Here is an 18,332-nt window from a genome sequence, read left to right on the forward strand (position 1 = left end):
AATAAATGGACACAACTTTGATACCATGCAACATAAACAGTCCCAATCCGCAGGATATTCCAGTCTCCCCACCCCCTGCCCCTTGTGAGGGCTTGGGGCAGGTGCTGCTCCAAGGCTAGTCAAACCACAGTGATCATATCCAGTCCACAGCACCTTCCATTTTATTGTTTTATTTACAAACAGGGTGAAGTCAAAGGGAAAGTCAGGGGATGGAGTCAGTCTGGGCCATCCGAATGTGGAGTAGTTCTTGGGTCAAGCTCTACCATGAAGGCCACCTCTTACATATCCTTTTCCTGCCCCTTGGTAATGGCCCCTTGATTCCTCAGGGCAGCCTCAGCTGCTGTACCTGAACACTTTTATGAGGGCAGATGGATCCTGGGGTAACAGGGGTGGTACGAGGGCTGGGGCCCCCTCAGTTTGTGTAAACCTGAGTTCCGATCACACGCATGATTTCCTTCTGTATCTTGGGGTCCTGAGTATTAATGTTGGCATCGCCCACCTGACCATCCTCATATCTGCCAAAGATAGGGCAAGTGTGAGCATAAGAGGGAGAACAATACCAGAATAACATCAATCAGTGGAACTGTATTTCAAGGTATGGCCATCCCATCCCAGAAGTCAAAGCCCTTTCTCACTGCTTCATAGTGGAAGATATTCAGCTTATCTGGTTTCCTCTAGATAGATCCCAACCATCTATACCCATTCCCATCCTCCAATGGTAAAGTCCCAGTGACAGCTCCACTCAGGTAGCCAAGGACATGTCTCAGATAACAGAAATAGACTTTTCCCAGTAGCCACACACCATCACACCCCCAACCTCACTCCTCGAGTAATCCCCAGAGTCCCTCCGACACTTACACAAAGAAGAATCTTGTGCAGACATGGTCGGACACAGGGCACACCCAGATGTTCCCATGCTTCTGGAGGTCCTTAGATGTAATCACTGGGAGAAAGAGGGCCAGAAATCATAGATACAATGCTTAAGGCACAGAGTCCAGGCAGGAGAAGGAAGCCATGCCACTTCAACATCACTCTTGGCCAGATCATGTGCCAAAATTACATCAGAAACAAAGGTTAGAGACCCAGAAAAACAGGACATGGGCAAGCTACCTACCTTCACAAAGTGCTATACAGTTTAGATTCCGACTCTGCAGGAACCGTGACTGAATGGATCGGGTCTGGAAGAGAAGGAGGCAAAGGAGACCAGAGCCAGGTAGATGGGTACAGCTTTCCCTAGAGAGGCTGGTTAGCTGATGATTGGGAGTGGGGATCAGAGATATCCTGGGCTCCCAGCAACACCCCTCGCCGCCCAGAAAATTCTTCTTTCCCATAATCAGTCTGGATAGGGTCACAGCTTCCATCTTTACATTTTCATCTAAACTCAGCCTCTGCTTTTATACTCATGACTTCAGCTACATATGACTCCAGACGTGTGTTCACTTTAGAACATACCTGACTCCTTTAAATGATCTCAAATCACTCCCCAACCCATTCTCACCCCACTGTTTCCCTGTCCAGCTCTGGAGCCTAAATTAGCCCCAGGGAAAGGTCCTGCCTCATTAGAATAGTTCCAATACCTGGGGGATGGTATTCATCCTGTTGTATCTCTGGACCAGCTCATCCTTGGAGGGCATCCTGTGCTGTCCTTTTCCCATTCCTGTCACAGAACAATACACCCACTTCATTTATCAAAAATTTACGAAAGTGCCTACTATGTCCCAGCACTGAGCTAGATGCTCATCAAAACAGCAGAGAATAAAACAAAGAAGATTATTTTCCCCCACAGAATTTAGTCTGCTGGAAATTACAAGCAAGAACAAGTAATTAACAACACAGCATGGTAAGGGGTTGTGATGCAGATTATAGAGCATGGTGTGAGCCTAGAGGAGGGCAACTAGCCTAGCCTAAGAGTTTAAAGAAGTCATGTGGTGACAGCTAGACTGAGAACTGCAGGATTAGGAAGAGTTAATTAAATAAACAGCGGGGAAGTGTCTGGGAAGAAGTAATAGGATACAGAAGGCCTGAAGGAAAGATAAGGTAGTGTGTGTTAGTTGCATAGAGAATAGTGAATTGCAGAGGAGTGGTGAGAAATGATGTAGAAGAGGCAAGCTAGGATCAGATCAAGCCGGCTTTGCAGGCCATGTTAAGGCAACTAAAGTCTATCCTCAGAACATTAGGGAACCACTGCAGGGTTCTAAGATAGGGGAGCAGCACATGAAATCAGCCAGGAATGAGGGGCCCAGGAGAGTGGGACATCAATACCTTGGTGTCAAGTGCCTGGATGAGTAAAATGAATGGAAAGGAAGCAAGCAGAACAAGTCAGATTTGCTCTAGTCTCAAAGTTACATTAAAAACCTGACCAGTCATTCAAGAGAAAAGCATCAGCAGTTAAGTGATGAATAATTTTGTACAGGAAATCACAATGGCAACTAACTTGAAGAATCCTACTTCAAACAGTCTTCCCAGGCTTGAGAAAGAAGTGCCCATTCCTTCTAGTTTCCACATTATCTAAATCCATAAACTCTCTACCTTCCTTACCCGTTTATAACATTTATAGACTCAACTTGGACTTTTCTTATTTAGATATGAAAATGTGCTTGTGTGCTCCCACTCCTCACTCTTTTTGGTTTGAGGATAGGACGTTAAGTCTCTGTACTCAGCTTTATCATAGGCCCAATCTTACCACAGTTAGGGATAAAAATGTCTACCCATGTGTGGACACACGTGCCTGTGTGTGTCCACCAGGGAGAGAGATGAAGATGGAGATGATGCTATCATTATAGGTCATAAGCACTCTCACCACTCTACCCTGGAACTTTCTATTACTATTAACTCCACTCTGATCAGTTCTTGGTTTTCTCATAGCCATGGTGTAGAAATAGACTGATAGCTGTTGAACTGACATTCTTCACTGCTCAGGCTGTCAATTCATCATGCATTTACACTCAAGTCTCGTGACAGATTTAGGTAGGGCCTGAACAAAACTCAGGACACCAAGAGCCTCAAGGCTTGAATTGCCCATTTCTTCCTTTTACAGGACAGGTACTCATAACCCCTGTTTTCACCTTCCCCATTAGCCTTAACTAGGTTCAGCTCTCCACCCAAACATCATGACCTTCTCTCAAACTGGGTATGTCAGTGACAAAAAGTAAAATTCCCATTCAGGTTATACTCCAGAGGAGGCACATAAAAGATAATAAAGAACAATCTGATTTCTCTGGCAGGTCTTAGAGATGGCCCTTATGATATAACCCAAATCTTGTCCCAACTCAATCCTGTTGTACACTATCCTTTCCACACTGATCCAATGATTGTCCATTTCCTGAGCCCAGAACCTGAGATCATGGTGGCTAGAATAATCCCTAGATGTTCTGTGTCCAGAGTATGCACTTATCAGAAGTCCCTAAACAAGACTAAACAAACAGATGGAGTATATCACCTCCTTTTTCACTGTCCCCTATTTCAACCTGAACTTTATAGCCAAGTCACTGGAACTAGATATATGAACGCTATTTACACCAACCCTCACTTCCAGAGGGCACTCAATGCCATTAGGCTAAAGATAGTGTGAGAAAGAAAAAACAGAAAACCAGAGCAGAATAGCGTAGAAGAAAACATACAAGACAGTTGGTCAAATGCTGGAGTAACTACAGTAAGTGGAACATTTGCACACATTTCCCCCAACATCCCATTATACATACTCACATATCTATAGGGCCCTCAGAGACCCGTCATTCAAGCAAGGCCTACTCTGTCAGTCTAATATAGTGTATTAGTCCATTTTCACACTACTGATAAAGACATACCCAAGACTTGGTAATTTATACAGGAAAAAGGGTTTAATGGACTTACAGTTCCACATGGCTGGGGAGGCCTCACAATCATGGTGGAAGGCAAGGAGGAGCAAGTCACATCTTAAATGGATGGTGGCAGCCAAAGAGAGAGCTTGTGCAGCAAAACTCCCCCTTATAGAACTATCAGATCTCATGAGACTTATTCACTATGACAAGAACAGCACTGGAAAAACCTGCCCCCATGGGCCAGGCACAGTGGCTCACACCTATAATCCCAGCACTTTGGGAGGCCAAGGCAGGCGGATCACGAGGTCAGGAGATCGAGACCATCCTGGCTAACATGGTGAAACCCCACTTCTACTAAAAATACAAAAAAATCAGCTGGGCGTGGTGGTGGGCGCCTGTAGTCCCAGCTACTCGGGAGGCTGAGGCAGGAGAATGGCGTGAACCCGGGAGGTAGAGCTTGCAGTGAGCTGAGACCGCGCCACTGCACTCCAGCCTGGGCGATAGAGTGAGACTCTGTCTCAAAAAACAAAACAAAACAAAACAAAAACAAATAAAAACCTGCCCCCATGATTCAGTTACCTCCCGCTGGGTCCCTTCCACAACACATGGGAATTCAAGATGAGATCTGGGTGGAGACACAGCCAAACCGTATCATATAGTGATAACAACAATGGCCTAGAAATTAGGAGACCTGGATTGCAGCCCTATCTCTGCTACTCATAGCTGTGTGACCATAAGAAAATCATTTAACTTTTCTGTATATCAGCTTTCTTATCTGTAAAGTAATAAGGGATTAAATTAGATGATCTCTAACTCCAATAGTAAAATTCAACTGCATTTTGTATCTATAATCAATTACCCTTTGAGAGAGGGAGATGAAAGGTGTCTATGATATCTTTATGTAATCGGTTAAGTGATGAAGAAAGACGAGAGGTCAACAGAGATTTCTGGCTTCATCTGGTAACTAAAGGTATTTAGGCACTTGGTAGTAAACAAAGGCCAGGGGGAGAAAAGAGAAAGAAAGGGAGGGCATAGGGAGAAAACAGAAAAGAAGAATCTCAGTGGGCACCAAGAACCATGAGAATCTCACTACTCGGAAAGACAAAAGAACTTAATCAGAGGGATGCTTAGGCTGAGACAAAGATAAAAAGTGAAGAATCCAGACAAATCAAAAAGACTATTCCAACCCTAACCCCACTTTGGATGCCAGGCACACAGAGTAAGATTCACTCATATATTCAATAAATATGTGTTGGTCACTTGCCCTGTGTGGATTAATCATAATCTTTGTTTCATAACACATTATTGTTTTGTTTTGTTTTTTTGAGACGGAGTCTCACTCTGTTGCCCAGGCTAGAGTGCAGTGGCACGATCTCAGCTCACTGCAACCTCCGCCTCCCAGGTTCAAGTGATTCTTCTGCCTCAGCCTCCCGAGTAGCTGGGACTACAGATGTTTGCCACCATGTCCAGCTAATTTTTCTATTTTTAGTAGAGACAGGGTTTCACCATGTTGGTCAGGCTGGTCTCGAACTCCCAACCTCGTGATCCACCTGCTTTGGCCTCCCAAAGTGCTGGGATTACAGGTGTGAGCCACCATGCCCAGCCTCATTATTATTTTTTAATAAGACAATGAATACCCAGAGACCCAATCAAAGAACTAAATTCTAAACCTAAAACATTACCAGTGACTTACATCTAACTATATGCCTCCCTTTGGAGGTAATCACTATCCTGCAATTTGAGTTATTATTCTTTTGTTTTTTCTTTTTCCTTTAGTTTTCACACACACACACATAATACACATATATATGCCTAAACAATGTTTAATTTTGTTTGCTTTTGAACAATATAAAAAAGGCATCACAGTCTCACTCTGTCTTCTGGGACTTCCCTCTTCTTATTGAACATATTTATTATTATTTTTTTTTTTGAGATGGAGTCTTGCTCTGTTACCCAGGCTGGAGTGCAATGGCGCAGTCTCACCTCACTGCAACCTCCGCCTCCCAGATTCAAACGATTCTCCTGCCTCAGCCTCCTGAGTATCTAGGATTACAGGCATGTGCCACCACGCCTGGCTAATTTTCTTTGTATTTTTAGTAGAGATGGGGCTTCTCCCTGTTGGTCAGGCTGGTCTCAAACTCCCAACCTCAGGTGATCTCCCTGCCTTGGCCTCCCAAAGTGCTGGGATTACAGGCGTGAGCCACTGCGCCCAGCCAAAAAGTACACTTTTATTACTAATCTTTTGTGGTTATATGTGCTGCAAATGTCTTCTGTCGGTTTGTAGCCTGTCTCTTCACTTTCTTTAGGGTGTCTTCTGAAGAATATAAGTTTTAAATTTTTTTTCTTTTTTGAGACAGGGTCTCGCTCTACTGCCCAAGCTGGAGTGCAGTGACATGATCATGGCTCACTGCAGCTTCAACCTCCTGGGCTCAGTGATCTTCCTGCCTCAGCCTCCTGACCAGCTAGGACTTACAGGCACGCACTGCCAGACCTGGTTATTTTTATTTTTTTGCAGAGATGGGGTATTGCCATGTTGCCCAGGCTGGTCTTGAACTCCTGAGCTCAAGCAATCATCCCACGTCAGCCTCCCAGTGTTGGGATTACAGGTGTGAGCCACTGTGCCCAGCCAGAAGTTTTTAATTTTAATATAGTCAAATTTATCAATCTTTTATGATTTGTAATTCCATTTTTTCTATTCTCTGGAAGACTTTAGATAAAACTAAAATAATTTGTTCCTTGAAAGTTTAAGATTAATTTGTAAAACCATCTGGGCTTGGTGAGGTTTATTTTGTGTGTGGAAATTTTTACACAATTTCTATTTCTTTTATAGTATTATGATTATACAGGCTATTTCTTGTCAGATTTGTTATCTTTTTCTAGAAATTTATCCATTTTATCAAAGTTTTTAAATTATTAGCATAGTGTAGGTAACTCTCTTATTACTTTTTATTTTTTTTTTAGGCAGAGTCTTGCTTTGTTGTCTAGGCTGGAGTGCACTGGTTTGATCTTGGCTGACTGCAGCCTCTGCCTCCTGGGTTCAAGCGATTCTCCTGCCTCAGCCTCTCGAGTAGGTGCATGCCACCATGCCTGGCTAATTTTTCTATTTTTAGTAGAGACAGGATTTCACCATGTTGGCCAGGCTGGTCTTGAACTCCTGACCTCAAGTGATCTGCCCACATCAGCCTCCCAAAGTACTGGGATTACACGTGTGAGCCACCGTGCCCCGCCTTATTACCTTTTTAAATTCTGCTTATCTATAGTTGTACTGCTTTTTTTGGTCATTATATTATTTAATTGTGTCCTTTTTCTCTTAATCTAACCAGGGTTTATCTGTTCTGTTAGTTCTTTGAAATCATCTTTGGACTTTTTTGGTACTATCTATTGTACCTATTTTTATTTCACAGGTGTTAGTTCTTACCTGTATTATCTCCTTTTTTCTATTTTGTTTGGTTTATTCTGTTGTTAGAGATGTTTTTAGGCCTCTGATTCTGGCACTTTCTTTTTTCTTTTTTTTTTTGAGACGGGGTCTCCCTCTGTCAACCAGGCTGGTGTGCAGTGGTGCAATCTCAGCTCACTGCAACCTCCGCCTCCCGGGTTCAAGCGATTCTCCTGCCTCAGCCTCCTGATGGCACTACATTTTCTGATCTTTGTAACAGTTACAAATTACTACAGGATATCAAGTAATAATCTATTAAGAATCTAGCACAATCCCCTTCATGTAGTGAACATGCAACTACATGGTGACTATACCTTGTACAGAGACTACATCAAACAAGCACAAAAGCAGACTGAAAATGAACTAAGACATAAGCCAGGAAGACTGAGAGAACTCTAAATCAGATTTCCTTTTCTGAGCTTGACTCATCTCCTGATTAGAATCTGGACCTCATCTTTAGAATAAAATGCTTTATCTTGCATTCAATGTGACTAACATAATAGTGTAAGATTATAGACAGTTTAAATTTTAAAAGATGGTTGAGAGAGAGAACAGTGTCTCTAGAAATATAAGCCAATGGAAAGGACGCAAGCCTTCAGGCCTTCAGATGTTTTCACATGTAAACTTACATGTACAAGTATACACAAACACAATCTATAATTGCCAACACCAAACGTGTTCTACAAAAAGCCTTGTTATGTCCCTGTTATTCCTCCACCCATTCCCAGGGCCAAGCCCCTGCTATGAATAAAACCATCATTTTTAACAATAACTGGCCTCACCTTGTAAAGAATCTAAATTTCTAATAAGAAAATGTAGAGAGAGAGAGAATATGTATCCATGATCGGGGAGAGAGCTGACACAGACCAAGTATCCATAATGAGGGAGGAACAGACAGCACAAATCATGTATTCACAAATGGAGGCAATGTAAATAGAGTCAAGGTGGCCACAGAATATTTCTTACCTGAGTATCCAAAGGAAATACTGGAGATGGGGCTCAGGTAGATGCCTTTGCCATAGGCTGCTCCATGCAGCTTGCAGGGAAACACCAGGATGAGTAATATGAGCCTGGGCCCTCCCATGGCTATTTATTAGGCAGCAGCAAGGCTTATCCAGCCCTCTGTCCCTCCTTCTACCTTCTCATTCAAGTAACCCTAAGCACCTATTCTCGGAAAGCCAACTGGCTGAAAAGTGGATGCAGGTTAACCTGCTTGCCTATGAAGTGCTACATACTGACACATTCGAGAGTGGGAAATGGTAGAACCACTGAGTCAGTCCCTCAGCATTCATTTTCCTGTCTCCAGGCCTTGGTACATATGCAGATTCCAAAAAAGAGGAACTACAGAACGGGTAGCCAGAAGGAGGGCCAATACACACTCCCTGGAGTCTCTCAGGGCATAGAAAAAGTCTCCCATATCTACTCCTTGAATGAATAGCCACATAAATTGAAAAGCTCTAATAGATTAATTCATCACAGTGGCTACAATCAGCAATTCCATATTCCTGCTTACAGGTACATTCCCATTCCCCAAACCACCAAAAAAACGCAGACTGAGATCAAATACACAACAGCCACGTTCTCTATTCATACAGTTCTAACTTCCTCTCTAGGGAACTCCACAAGACAGGTTAGGCTTGAGGACACTGAGGCAAAAACAGCTTACTCTAGAGCAGCCTTCCACAAAACTGAGTAGGGAAGGGAGCGGTTAGAAATAAAGGAGAAAGGGGCACAGCCTCACCTGCAGTTTGGTGTAGGATGCATTGACCAGCCCATTGCGCAGGATCGAATGCCAGTTCTCAATGTGGGACCCACTGTAAGGCAGGGTAGAATACATGTCTCCTTATGATATGAGGTTCCCAGGAACACTCCCAAGACTGCCATTCCCACCCATTCTCACCCACACAGGACATGAAGATGGACAGGTACACCTAGTGATGGACATGCACATGGATACAGTCACAGGCATGCAAGATGTGTGTGTGTGGTTAAACTCTACGTCTCTATTTCCAGTCCCATCCTCTCTTCGGTGCTTCAGCTACTCCCATCCTAAATCCTCAACTGCTGGTTCAGTATTTTTATTTGCCCATTATCCTGACATTTCAAATTCAATAAATTCATCTGAAAATCAACAAATTTATCACTGACCCCAAATATGGCTTCCAGTTCTGACTTCATGTTCTATTTTAAGAAAAGGGTACTACCACTCCCTATAAGTTCTCTTTAATACCTCTCTTTCTCTTTCCCTCCTCTCAAAATTAGGCATAAATTGTGGATTTTTCCATCAAAGTAGCTTTCAGATCTGTTCTCTCCAATCTATTTCTTCAGCCACATCTTTTCACATGTAAATGTCATTTTTCCTCAACTACATCATAAATAGTTTGAGAATAAAGACCACATTATATGTACCTTTTTGTCCTCTATAGCACCTACCACAATAGCATTTAGTAAGTATCTGCTGACTGGTTGATGGACACATGTAACACAAACTCATATCTCAAGGGCATCCTTCTTGCTCATCCCCGCCCCCTCACCACCCCCACTGCCCAGCCCCCAGCCTCCTCACTGGAAGGCAAAGGTGCTGCCATAGAGCTTCTTGGCGGTCCGGAACCGAGCCTCCTTGGCAGGAGGGCTGCTCAGCAGGAGGAACTGGTGTGAGGTGTGCATGAACTTCAGCTGCTGCCCAGGGTGGGGGTGGAATCAGGAAAACAGAGCAGAAATCGAGATCAGGGAGGGAAGGGTTGGGGATAGGGGAAAAAATCAGGCTTGCATTAACCCCACACAAGGGAAATATGCTAAGGCCCAAAGACTAAGTTGATGGACAGAGCAATGTAGGCAGATCTAGGACCAATATGGTTAGCTGGCTTCCAGCCCCTCCCTGCCCCTCACCAGAAATTTAAAGCATTTAGAGGGAGAATGGTCACTTACCCTGCTGAGAGGTAGTTTGACAATGTGTGACCTGTTGCTAGAGATGATCCTGGGAAGAAACAGAAAAAAATAAAAAGGATAGAATAATTATGTATTTAAGCTATCCTTTCTGAACAAGCCAGTCTTCCTCTGCCTTTGGGAGAATAAACAAGGATTCCTGGGCTGTCCAAATTGTGTGAAATGTCAAGGTCACTATCTGGATATTCCTGTGGGTGATAGTGCTTATGAATAAAAAGGTAAAAAGGAAGGTAGTGACCAGACACAAGCTAATTATTGGGGAGTTAAACAATGGATGAAAAAAAAAAAGGGGTGGGAGGAGTGCTGCTACAAGTAGGGAGTAAAAAGGGTAGAACAAAAGGAAGAGCACAGAGGTCACCTACAAAAAAAGAAAAGAAAAAACAGCAAGAGGTCTGAATTAGAATGGTGACAACTTATACCTGGGATTTAGACTCAGATTCAGACCTGGGCTCAGAAGCCATCCTTCCTTAGCTTAAGAGAAAACATGAAAGCTCTCAGGAATGGGGAGAAACGGAGAGAAAGTTACTGTCTAGGCTGGAAAAAGAAACAGAAGAAACTAGAATGAACTTCCTTAGGAGTCAAGGACAGACTAAGCTCTATACAGGCTGAACACAGAAGATAGAAGAGAACAGACATAAAACACTGAGGGCTCAGCAAGAGAGCACTATCTCCCATGTGGATACAGTTTGCTGTTGTCTTTGTTTTTTGTGCCTCATCTATGTACCTGTGATGCCACCTCAGATGGTCTATGCCTGGTTATTCCTCAGGCTAAGAGGGAGAAAGCTGTTGCACTGAGGAAGTACTGAAGGCTGACTAGGAAGAGGGAGGCAAACTAAAAAGGGAAAGCTATGTCAGGAAAACAATAGAAATTGAGATCAGGAATGGATGGCAGCAGGGACAGTCAAAATCTTGGCTAGGAGAAGAGCACAGCAATAGTGCCTCAAGGCTCTGGACATTCTATATCATCAAGGAGGCCCAGAGACAGGGCAAGGGGATAGCAGGAGGAGACAGACGTCTCTGGATGCAAAGAAAACTTAGTTGAAATTAACAGTGTTAATTTCTACATGCAAAGGACACAAAAACCTATTGGTGGTGACTATAGTTAGTAACAATGTGTAATATTCTTCAAAATCACTGTGGTAGATTTTAAGTGTTCTCGCCACAAAAAATACATACGCGAGATAATGCATATGCTTATTAGCTCTACTGAACCATTCTGCAATGTACACATATTTCAAAACATCATGTTGTACACAATACATGTAATTTTTTTTTTTTGAGACGGAGTTTCGCTCTTGTTGCCCAGGCTGGAGTGTAATGGAGCAATCTCAGCTCACGGCAACCTCCGCCTCCCGGGTTCAAGCGATTCTCCTGCCTCAGCCTCCCGAGTAGCTGGGACTACAGGCATGGGCCACCATGCCCAGCTGATTTTGTATTTTTAGTAGAAATGGGGTTTCTCCATGTTGGTCAGGCTGGTCTCGAACTCCCAACCTCAGGTGATCCGCCCGCCTCGGCCTCCCAAAGTATTGGGATCACAGGTGTGAGCCACTGCACCCGGCCCTGTAATTTCTATCTGTCAATTTAAAAAATAAATTAACAAACCAAAAAAGAAAACAAACAACAAAACCTATTGCGAAACATGGAACACCTAAAGAGAACTTGAAAAATCATGTCAGCTGCACATCGTGGCTCACAGCTGTAATCCCAGCACTTTGGGAAGCCAATCAGGAGGATCACTTGAGCCCAAGAGTTCAAGACTGGCTTGGGCAACATAGGGAGACTCCATCTCTATTAAAAAAAAAAAATTAGCTGGGTGTGGTGGCACATGCCTGTGGTCCCAGCTACTGGGGAGGCTGAGGTGGATCACTTGAGCACTGAAGGGCAAGGCTACAGTGAACCATGATCGCACCACTGCACTCTAGCCGGGGCAACAGAGTGAGACCCTATCTCAAAAAAAAAAAAAAAGAAACAATTAAAATAAGATTAAAAATAATTTTTTTGAAAGAAAAATCATGTCAGAATTTGTGGGCGTTTTGTAGGATGTGTTATTTTCAAGGCAAGGTATGCCAACAAACTCCAAGAAAAAGCACCCATTACTGCCTATAACCTTGGGAAGGATGTTGAAACCACCACTAAAAGAAGGTACAGGTTCCATGTCCAATAACTCCCTCCCTCCCCATAACCCAAGAAGGATGAGCCATTCTATCCATACCACTGCAGGAGAGGATGGGCCAGGGGATCCAACTTGTCCATCTGTTTCTTGATTTCCAAATATGAGCCCTGTAAGACAATGGCCATAACGTTATCTCCTTGGAGAGGTGGGAGCCTACCTGCTTTCTGCTTTTCACAGAGTGACTATTAGGGTCCAGGGCAAGGTAGGCACCAAAGGCCACACAGAGGAAAAAGGAGATAGGGTTCCCACCCTCAAGGAGCCCTAGTCAGGCTGGGAAGACTCATAAATAAATATGAAAATGACTGAAGATGCTTACAAAACAACATGCAGGTGGGTCTCCCTCATTTTATGCAATTCCTACAGCCCTAAAAAGTTGATTATAAATCAAAAAATAAATAAAATCAATGTCCCAAGAAGATTAGGCTAAGGAATCCTGTGGTAAATCTTTAAATAATGCAAAGCGTCCTCCTGACAAGTAAATCATTCCTCCTAGGTGTATCTTATGTGTAAATCTCAACTGTGATATACAGGATTTGCTGAGAAGAGGCCCACCTGTAAATGAGTACAAATGAATGTCTATTCATGCAGAGATTGCAGACGAGGGGTGGGGAAGTCTGGTGAGGGACAGCCTTGAGTCAAAGGATGGTCACCGCTCCATGTGGCTGCCCCACCCCTAGAAGGATAGAAGATGTAGGCCCCTGTGTCTAGTTCCTTACCTTCAAGCCCCCCTCCTCCTCACCCTCCCAACCCTGGGCAGAGGTCTTTCCTTCACTTCTTAACTCCCTAAGAATTATGGCAAAACATTAAATATGAACAACTTGTAAAGGAATTAACAGCAAAGGTAAAGATTGAGACACAAAGACTAAAGAGAATAAAGAGGAGTAACAGAGCTAACAAAACAGAGAACAGGAATTGGGAAGGTTAAAGAGGAAAGACTAAAAAAAAAATACAGTGCGTAGCATCTCTAAATCTTCATCCCACTCCCACAAATTACCAACAGAATAGGACACTTGAACTGGGCAGGCAAAGGAGAGGGGACAGAGAGAAGGCAGAATACCTGGGTCATCTCCCGAATAGACATCACACTATCCAGAGCTTTCTGAAGCCGCTCATAATTCTTCTTCTGTGGAGAATCAATGGGAAGAGAAGAACCAAATAAAGAAAAGTAGAGGAAAGTAAGATGTGATGAAAAGGGGCTAGATGTACCAAAAAAGTCTAGGCCCTAGGAAACAATAGTATGTCATGGAAAGAGCATTAATGTCAGACAGTTCTAGGGGCACATGCTAGTTCTCTTTTACCAGCTGGGAGTAACAGGGTAAGTTATTTGGCCTCTTAGAACCTTTAGCATCCCTTTATGCAAGTGAAGATAACTCCTATCACCCCCATAGAGATGTTCTGAGGATTAAATATCATATATAAAGAACTCTGTATAGTAATGACAGTAATAGTGAGGTACTATGCTGGGTACTTGTGATGGTTAATTTTGTGTGTCAACTTGACTGGGCCATGAGGTACCCACTCATCTGGTCAACCATTATTTCTGGGTGTGTTTGTGAGGGTGTTTCTGGTTGAGATTAACATTTGAATCAGCAGACTGAGTAAAGCAAATTGTCCTCCCTAATGTGGAAGGGCCTTATCCAATCAATCGATGACCTAAATAGAACAAAAAGGCTGACTCCTCTGCCCCACCCCGCCATGAGTTTGTAGAGTTTGTAGGTATTCCTCCTGCCTGATTGCTTGAATTGGATTATCAGTCTTTTCCAGTCTTTGGATTTGAACTAAAAAAAAAATTGGCTCTTCTTGGATGTTAAGCCTTCAGGCTTTCAGACTAGAACTTACACCATTGGCTCTGATTTTTTGGTTTTGTTTTTTTGAGGCAGAGTCTCGCTCTGTCACCCAGCCTGGAGTGCAGTGGTGCGATCCTGGCTCACTGCAACCTCTGCCTCCTGGGTTCAAGCGATTCTCATGCCTCAGCCTCCCAAGTAGCTGAGATTACAGGTGCCCACCAACATGCCTGGCTAATTTTTTGTATTTTCAGTAGAGACAGGGTTTCACCATGTTGGCCAGGCTGGTCTTTAACTCCTCACTCCAGTCAAGTGATCCACCCGCCTTGGCCTCCCGAAGTGCTAGGATTACAGGCAGAAGCCACTGCGCCCAGCCCACTCTCTGATTTTTCAAGCCTTGGGACTGGGACTACCACTGTACCACTGGCTCTCCTGGGTCTGCAGCCTGCTAACTGTAGATATTGGGACTTCTCAGCCTCCATAATCATGTGAGGCAATTCCTTATAATAAACCTCTTTCTCCTTCTCTCTCCATATATATCTCCTATTGGCTCTGTTTCTCTGGAAAACCCTAAAACAGTACTTTACATATATTACTTCTCTCTTTTTTTTTTTTTTTTTTTTTTTTTTTTTTGAGACAGAGTCTCGCTCTGTCAAGCAGGCTGGAGTGCAGTAGTACAATCTCGGCTCACTGCAAGCTCTGCCTCCCAAGTTCATGCCATTCTCCTGCCTCAGCCTCCCGAGTAGCTGGGACTACAGGCGCCCACCACCACACCTGGCTAATTTTTTGTATTTTTTAGTAGAGACAGGGTTTCACCATGTTAGCCAGGATGGTCTCGATCTCCTGACCTTGTGATCCACCTGCCTCAGCCTCCCAAAGTGCTGGGATTACAGGCGTGAGCCACCGCGCCCAGCCTACTTCTCATTTGTATAATGATCTGCAAAATAAATATTATCCCTTTTTACAAGATAAGGAGATTGAAGTTTAGAAACGTTAAGTGACTTGCCTAATACCCTTCAAATGGGGAGTAGCAGAATCTCAAATGGAATCCAGGTCTGTCTGGCTCCAAAAGCCCTTTTTCCCTATCATAATGTAACTAATATTAATTCTTCTCCCCTTTCTGTGTCAAACTTGGCTATTTATTTACTGAAACAGCTAAATCACAGAGTTTAAGAATTCTGTCCCTTATTCCAAGCCCTGTATATACCAGAATGTCAGCCCATAGTCTGCCACTATCTTTTATCATTTCTGTTCCTTAGCCCTGACTTTCTCAAGTAACATACCTTAGGGTTAAAGGCCAGAGTCTTGGGATCAGTGGGGTCCACCACAGAGGGATAAGGCTCAAAGATGATGCTCTTTCTAGGGGACTCTAAAGCTGCCCTACACATGGCCACCAGCAGATCCACCACCTTAGGGGAAAGGAAAAAAAACAGGGCAGAAGCTAAATGATTTCCCAGTACTGGGAGTCAGAGTACCCAGTATTTCTCTCTGATGTTCTTTTAAAAAGCAAATATGTTTAAGGCTTTCAAAATAGAAAATACAAGCTCATAAAAATTCAAGTAATACCAAAGTAATTAAAGATAAAAAACCATCTTCCTGCCCTTAAACTAATCTCAATTCTCACAGCTAAGTACTAGTGAGTTTGATGTATATCCTTCCAGATAATTTTCCTACGGAAATATTTTCTTTTCTTTCTCTCTCATTCTTTTTTAAAGAGACAGGGGCTCACTCTGTTACCCAGGCTGGAGTGCAGTGGTGTGATCATGGCCCACTGCAGCCTCGACCTCCTGAGCTCAAGCCATCCTCCCATCTCAGCCTCCCAAAGTACTGGGATTACAGGTGTGAGCCACTGTGCTCGGCCCTTTATTTTCTTACATGGACAATTTTACTACATATGCTGTTGTATTTGCTTTTTTATATGACTATGTTAAAATTTTGTCTATAAATAATACCTATATAGTACATCTACTCTAACGATATCCCATAATTTCTTTAACTGGAGCCCCTACAGATGGGGTTGTATCCATTTTTTATTTTACAAACAATACTACAGTGGTTATCTTATATACAAAAGCATTTTTGGAAGTTAAATTCCAAGAATGAAATTGCTGGGTTCCTCTGTCTTTCTTGATCCCAATTCCCCAGCCACGTTTCCCTCCCCCATACCTCTGCTCCAGTGGCCACCTCCTCTGCAGCTCCAGACATGACGCCCAGTGTGTAGAAGGAGAAAACGCATAGTTCACGAGTACAGACAGCTGGCTGAAAGGATATATTAAACAGATGGTGGTGGGATGGGGTGTGCAATAAGGTGTAGGCAGAGAGGGACAGTCCTAACCTCAGACAACTCTAAAACAGGGTAGGAATTTGAGGCCCTCTATATCAGGAGAAAACTACCAATAAAGTCTTAATTAAAATGCCTTACTGATAAGTTTGGGAGTTAACACTGTCTCCCCTATGAAGCCTTCCCTGATCTTCCTATGAAGTCAGATGTTCTCTCACCTGATTTTTAACAATGCTAATATCTCTTCTATAAACTTACCATACATTGTGATTTGTCTGTCTCCCATCTGGACTTAGAGTCCTTGAGGACAGCATCATATCCAATCATCTTGGTCAATATCTGATCCCCATTTTTAAATGTCAGGTGGACTCTATCCTAAATAAATATTCTCATATCCTCATCTCTCTAAACAGTACTGCTGAGACTTGTTTTCTGAGAAAAATCAACAATTTCTAGAGTATCAGGGTGTACAGACAGAATTTTACCTTGACCACAGACCAAGGAAGAAGGAAATAAAGGAGAGGAGTGAAGGGGACCTGGTTAAGGAAGAGGGTCATAGAGTACGGTCCTATACCTTCAGCATAGATCCATTTTGGAAGACATGCTGCTCATCACACACCACACAGTACTCATTCAATGTTGGAATCCTCTGTTCTGCATACTTCATGATCTGAGAAAACAACAGATTCTAAGTCTTTTGGAAGTACTGGCACACACAGATATGGGAAATAATTTCAGCTTTTTTTTCCAACTACCCTCCATCCTCCCAGCCCCGTGCCTAAGGTAGGATATATTCTTAGGCTGTGTACTTAAACTGATGGCCTGACTGCAGAGCTAAGACTGTATGGTATAGTAAAAATAAGAACATGATGTTTGATTGAGAAGACCTGGGTTAACACTGTACTTCTAATACTTAATGGCATATATAACTTTAAGCAAGTCAGTTAACCTGAGCCTTGGTTTCTTTGTTTATATAGCACAGCATTATTCACCTCATAGGGGTATTGCAAGAAATGAGATGATGTCCATGAAGGCATTTTAAAAATATAAAATGGATGCTAATCAAACTATTAAAAGTACTTGTAATTATAGGCTGTCCCTCTGGGATAGGAGAGCATTCAATCAATTAGATGGCAGAAGGTCCTGAGAAGCCATTTCAACTACCTAGAACAATTAGCCAGACCACTGGTCAAAACTACAGACAATTCTGTGCTAGGAAGATAGGAAAATCCAGAGCTAATGCAGCAATATCCTACAGCGTTTTTTTTGTTGTTGTTGTTTGTTTGTTTTTAATGACACCCTGTCTTAACATAGCTTTTGTGCATCAATCAAGTTGTTCCCCTTTCACATGATTTTAGGCTGGTAATGGGACATGCAAGAGACTTTATTCATTTAATGCAGATTTACTGAATGCCCATTATGTACCCAGCTCTGTGAAAGGTCTTCTTGATTATGAAATAAAATTAAAGGTTGTTTTCTCAGAAGCTGAACTTCAATAGGAGAGATGTGGCATGTTTATAAATTAATAACAATTCAAGGCAGCCCATAGTATGTGACACACAGGTGCCATATGAAACAAAAACAAATCGTAACAGTTCAGTGAGGGGAGACATCACATCTAGTTAATGCATTGGAGTAATGGCAATTTTATGGAAAAGGTGCCATCTGACTCTTGATAGCAAGAGGAAGATAGGAAGAATTACATGAACAAAGGTTAACAGAGATGCAAAAGTGAAAGCATGCCCAGGGAATAAAGAGATTTTAAAAAGCAAATGACCAGTAGTAGCTGAGCAGTGAAAGGGGGTCTGTGAAGAATACTAAAGATCATTTGAGCAAGGGCTATTGGGAATCATTAAGGAAATTAGTGTCAATCTCATTCTCATCTCATGTCATATGAGTCTCGACACTCATA

General features: G+C 42.9%; 1 protein-coding gene across 33 annotated transcripts in view; it reads right to left on the bottom strand.

The window, feature by feature from the left end:
- Positions 1–138: 138 nt before the first annotated feature.
- The window catches only part of PARP6 (poly(ADP-ribose) polymerase family member 6), a 31,374-nt gene continuing 13,180 nt past the window's right edge, over positions 139–18,332 (bottom strand). For 9 of the 33 annotated variants that reach the window (NM_001323522.2, NM_001323521.2, NM_001323524.2 and 6 more), the window contains exons 12-24: positions 16,995–17,090; positions 16,306–16,398; positions 15,423–15,548; positions 13,413–13,478; positions 12,395–12,462; positions 10,165–10,213; positions 9,803–9,912; positions 8,978–9,050; positions 8,203–8,272; positions 1,578–1,657; positions 1,115–1,178; positions 859–943; positions 139–515 (exon numbers count right to left, since the gene is read on the bottom strand). In NM_001323522.2, the coding sequence (NP_001310451.1) occupies positions 413–515; positions 859–943; positions 1,115–1,178; positions 1,578–1,657; positions 8,203–8,272; positions 8,978–9,050; positions 9,803–9,912; positions 10,165–10,213; positions 12,395–12,462; positions 13,413–13,478; positions 15,423–15,548; positions 16,306–16,398; positions 16,995–17,090 (1,083 nt within the window). In that variant the 3' untranslated portion in view covers positions 139–412. Of the gene's footprint in view, positions 516–858; positions 944–1,110; positions 1,179–1,577; positions 1,658–8,202; positions 8,273–8,977; positions 9,051–9,802; positions 9,916–10,164; positions 10,214–12,394; positions 12,463–12,907; positions 13,029–13,412; positions 13,479–15,422; positions 15,549–16,305; positions 16,399–16,994; positions 17,091–18,332 lie in introns of those variants that run through there. The other 24 variants (NM_001323531.2, NM_001323516.2, NM_001323528.2 and 21 more) reach the window with 9 other exon arrangements.

This window comes from Homo sapiens, chromosome 15 (genome assembly GCF_000001405.40).
Source record: "Homo sapiens chromosome 15, GRCh38.p14 Primary Assembly".
NCBI lineage: Eukaryota > Metazoa > Chordata > Mammalia > Primates > Hominidae > Homo > Homo sapiens.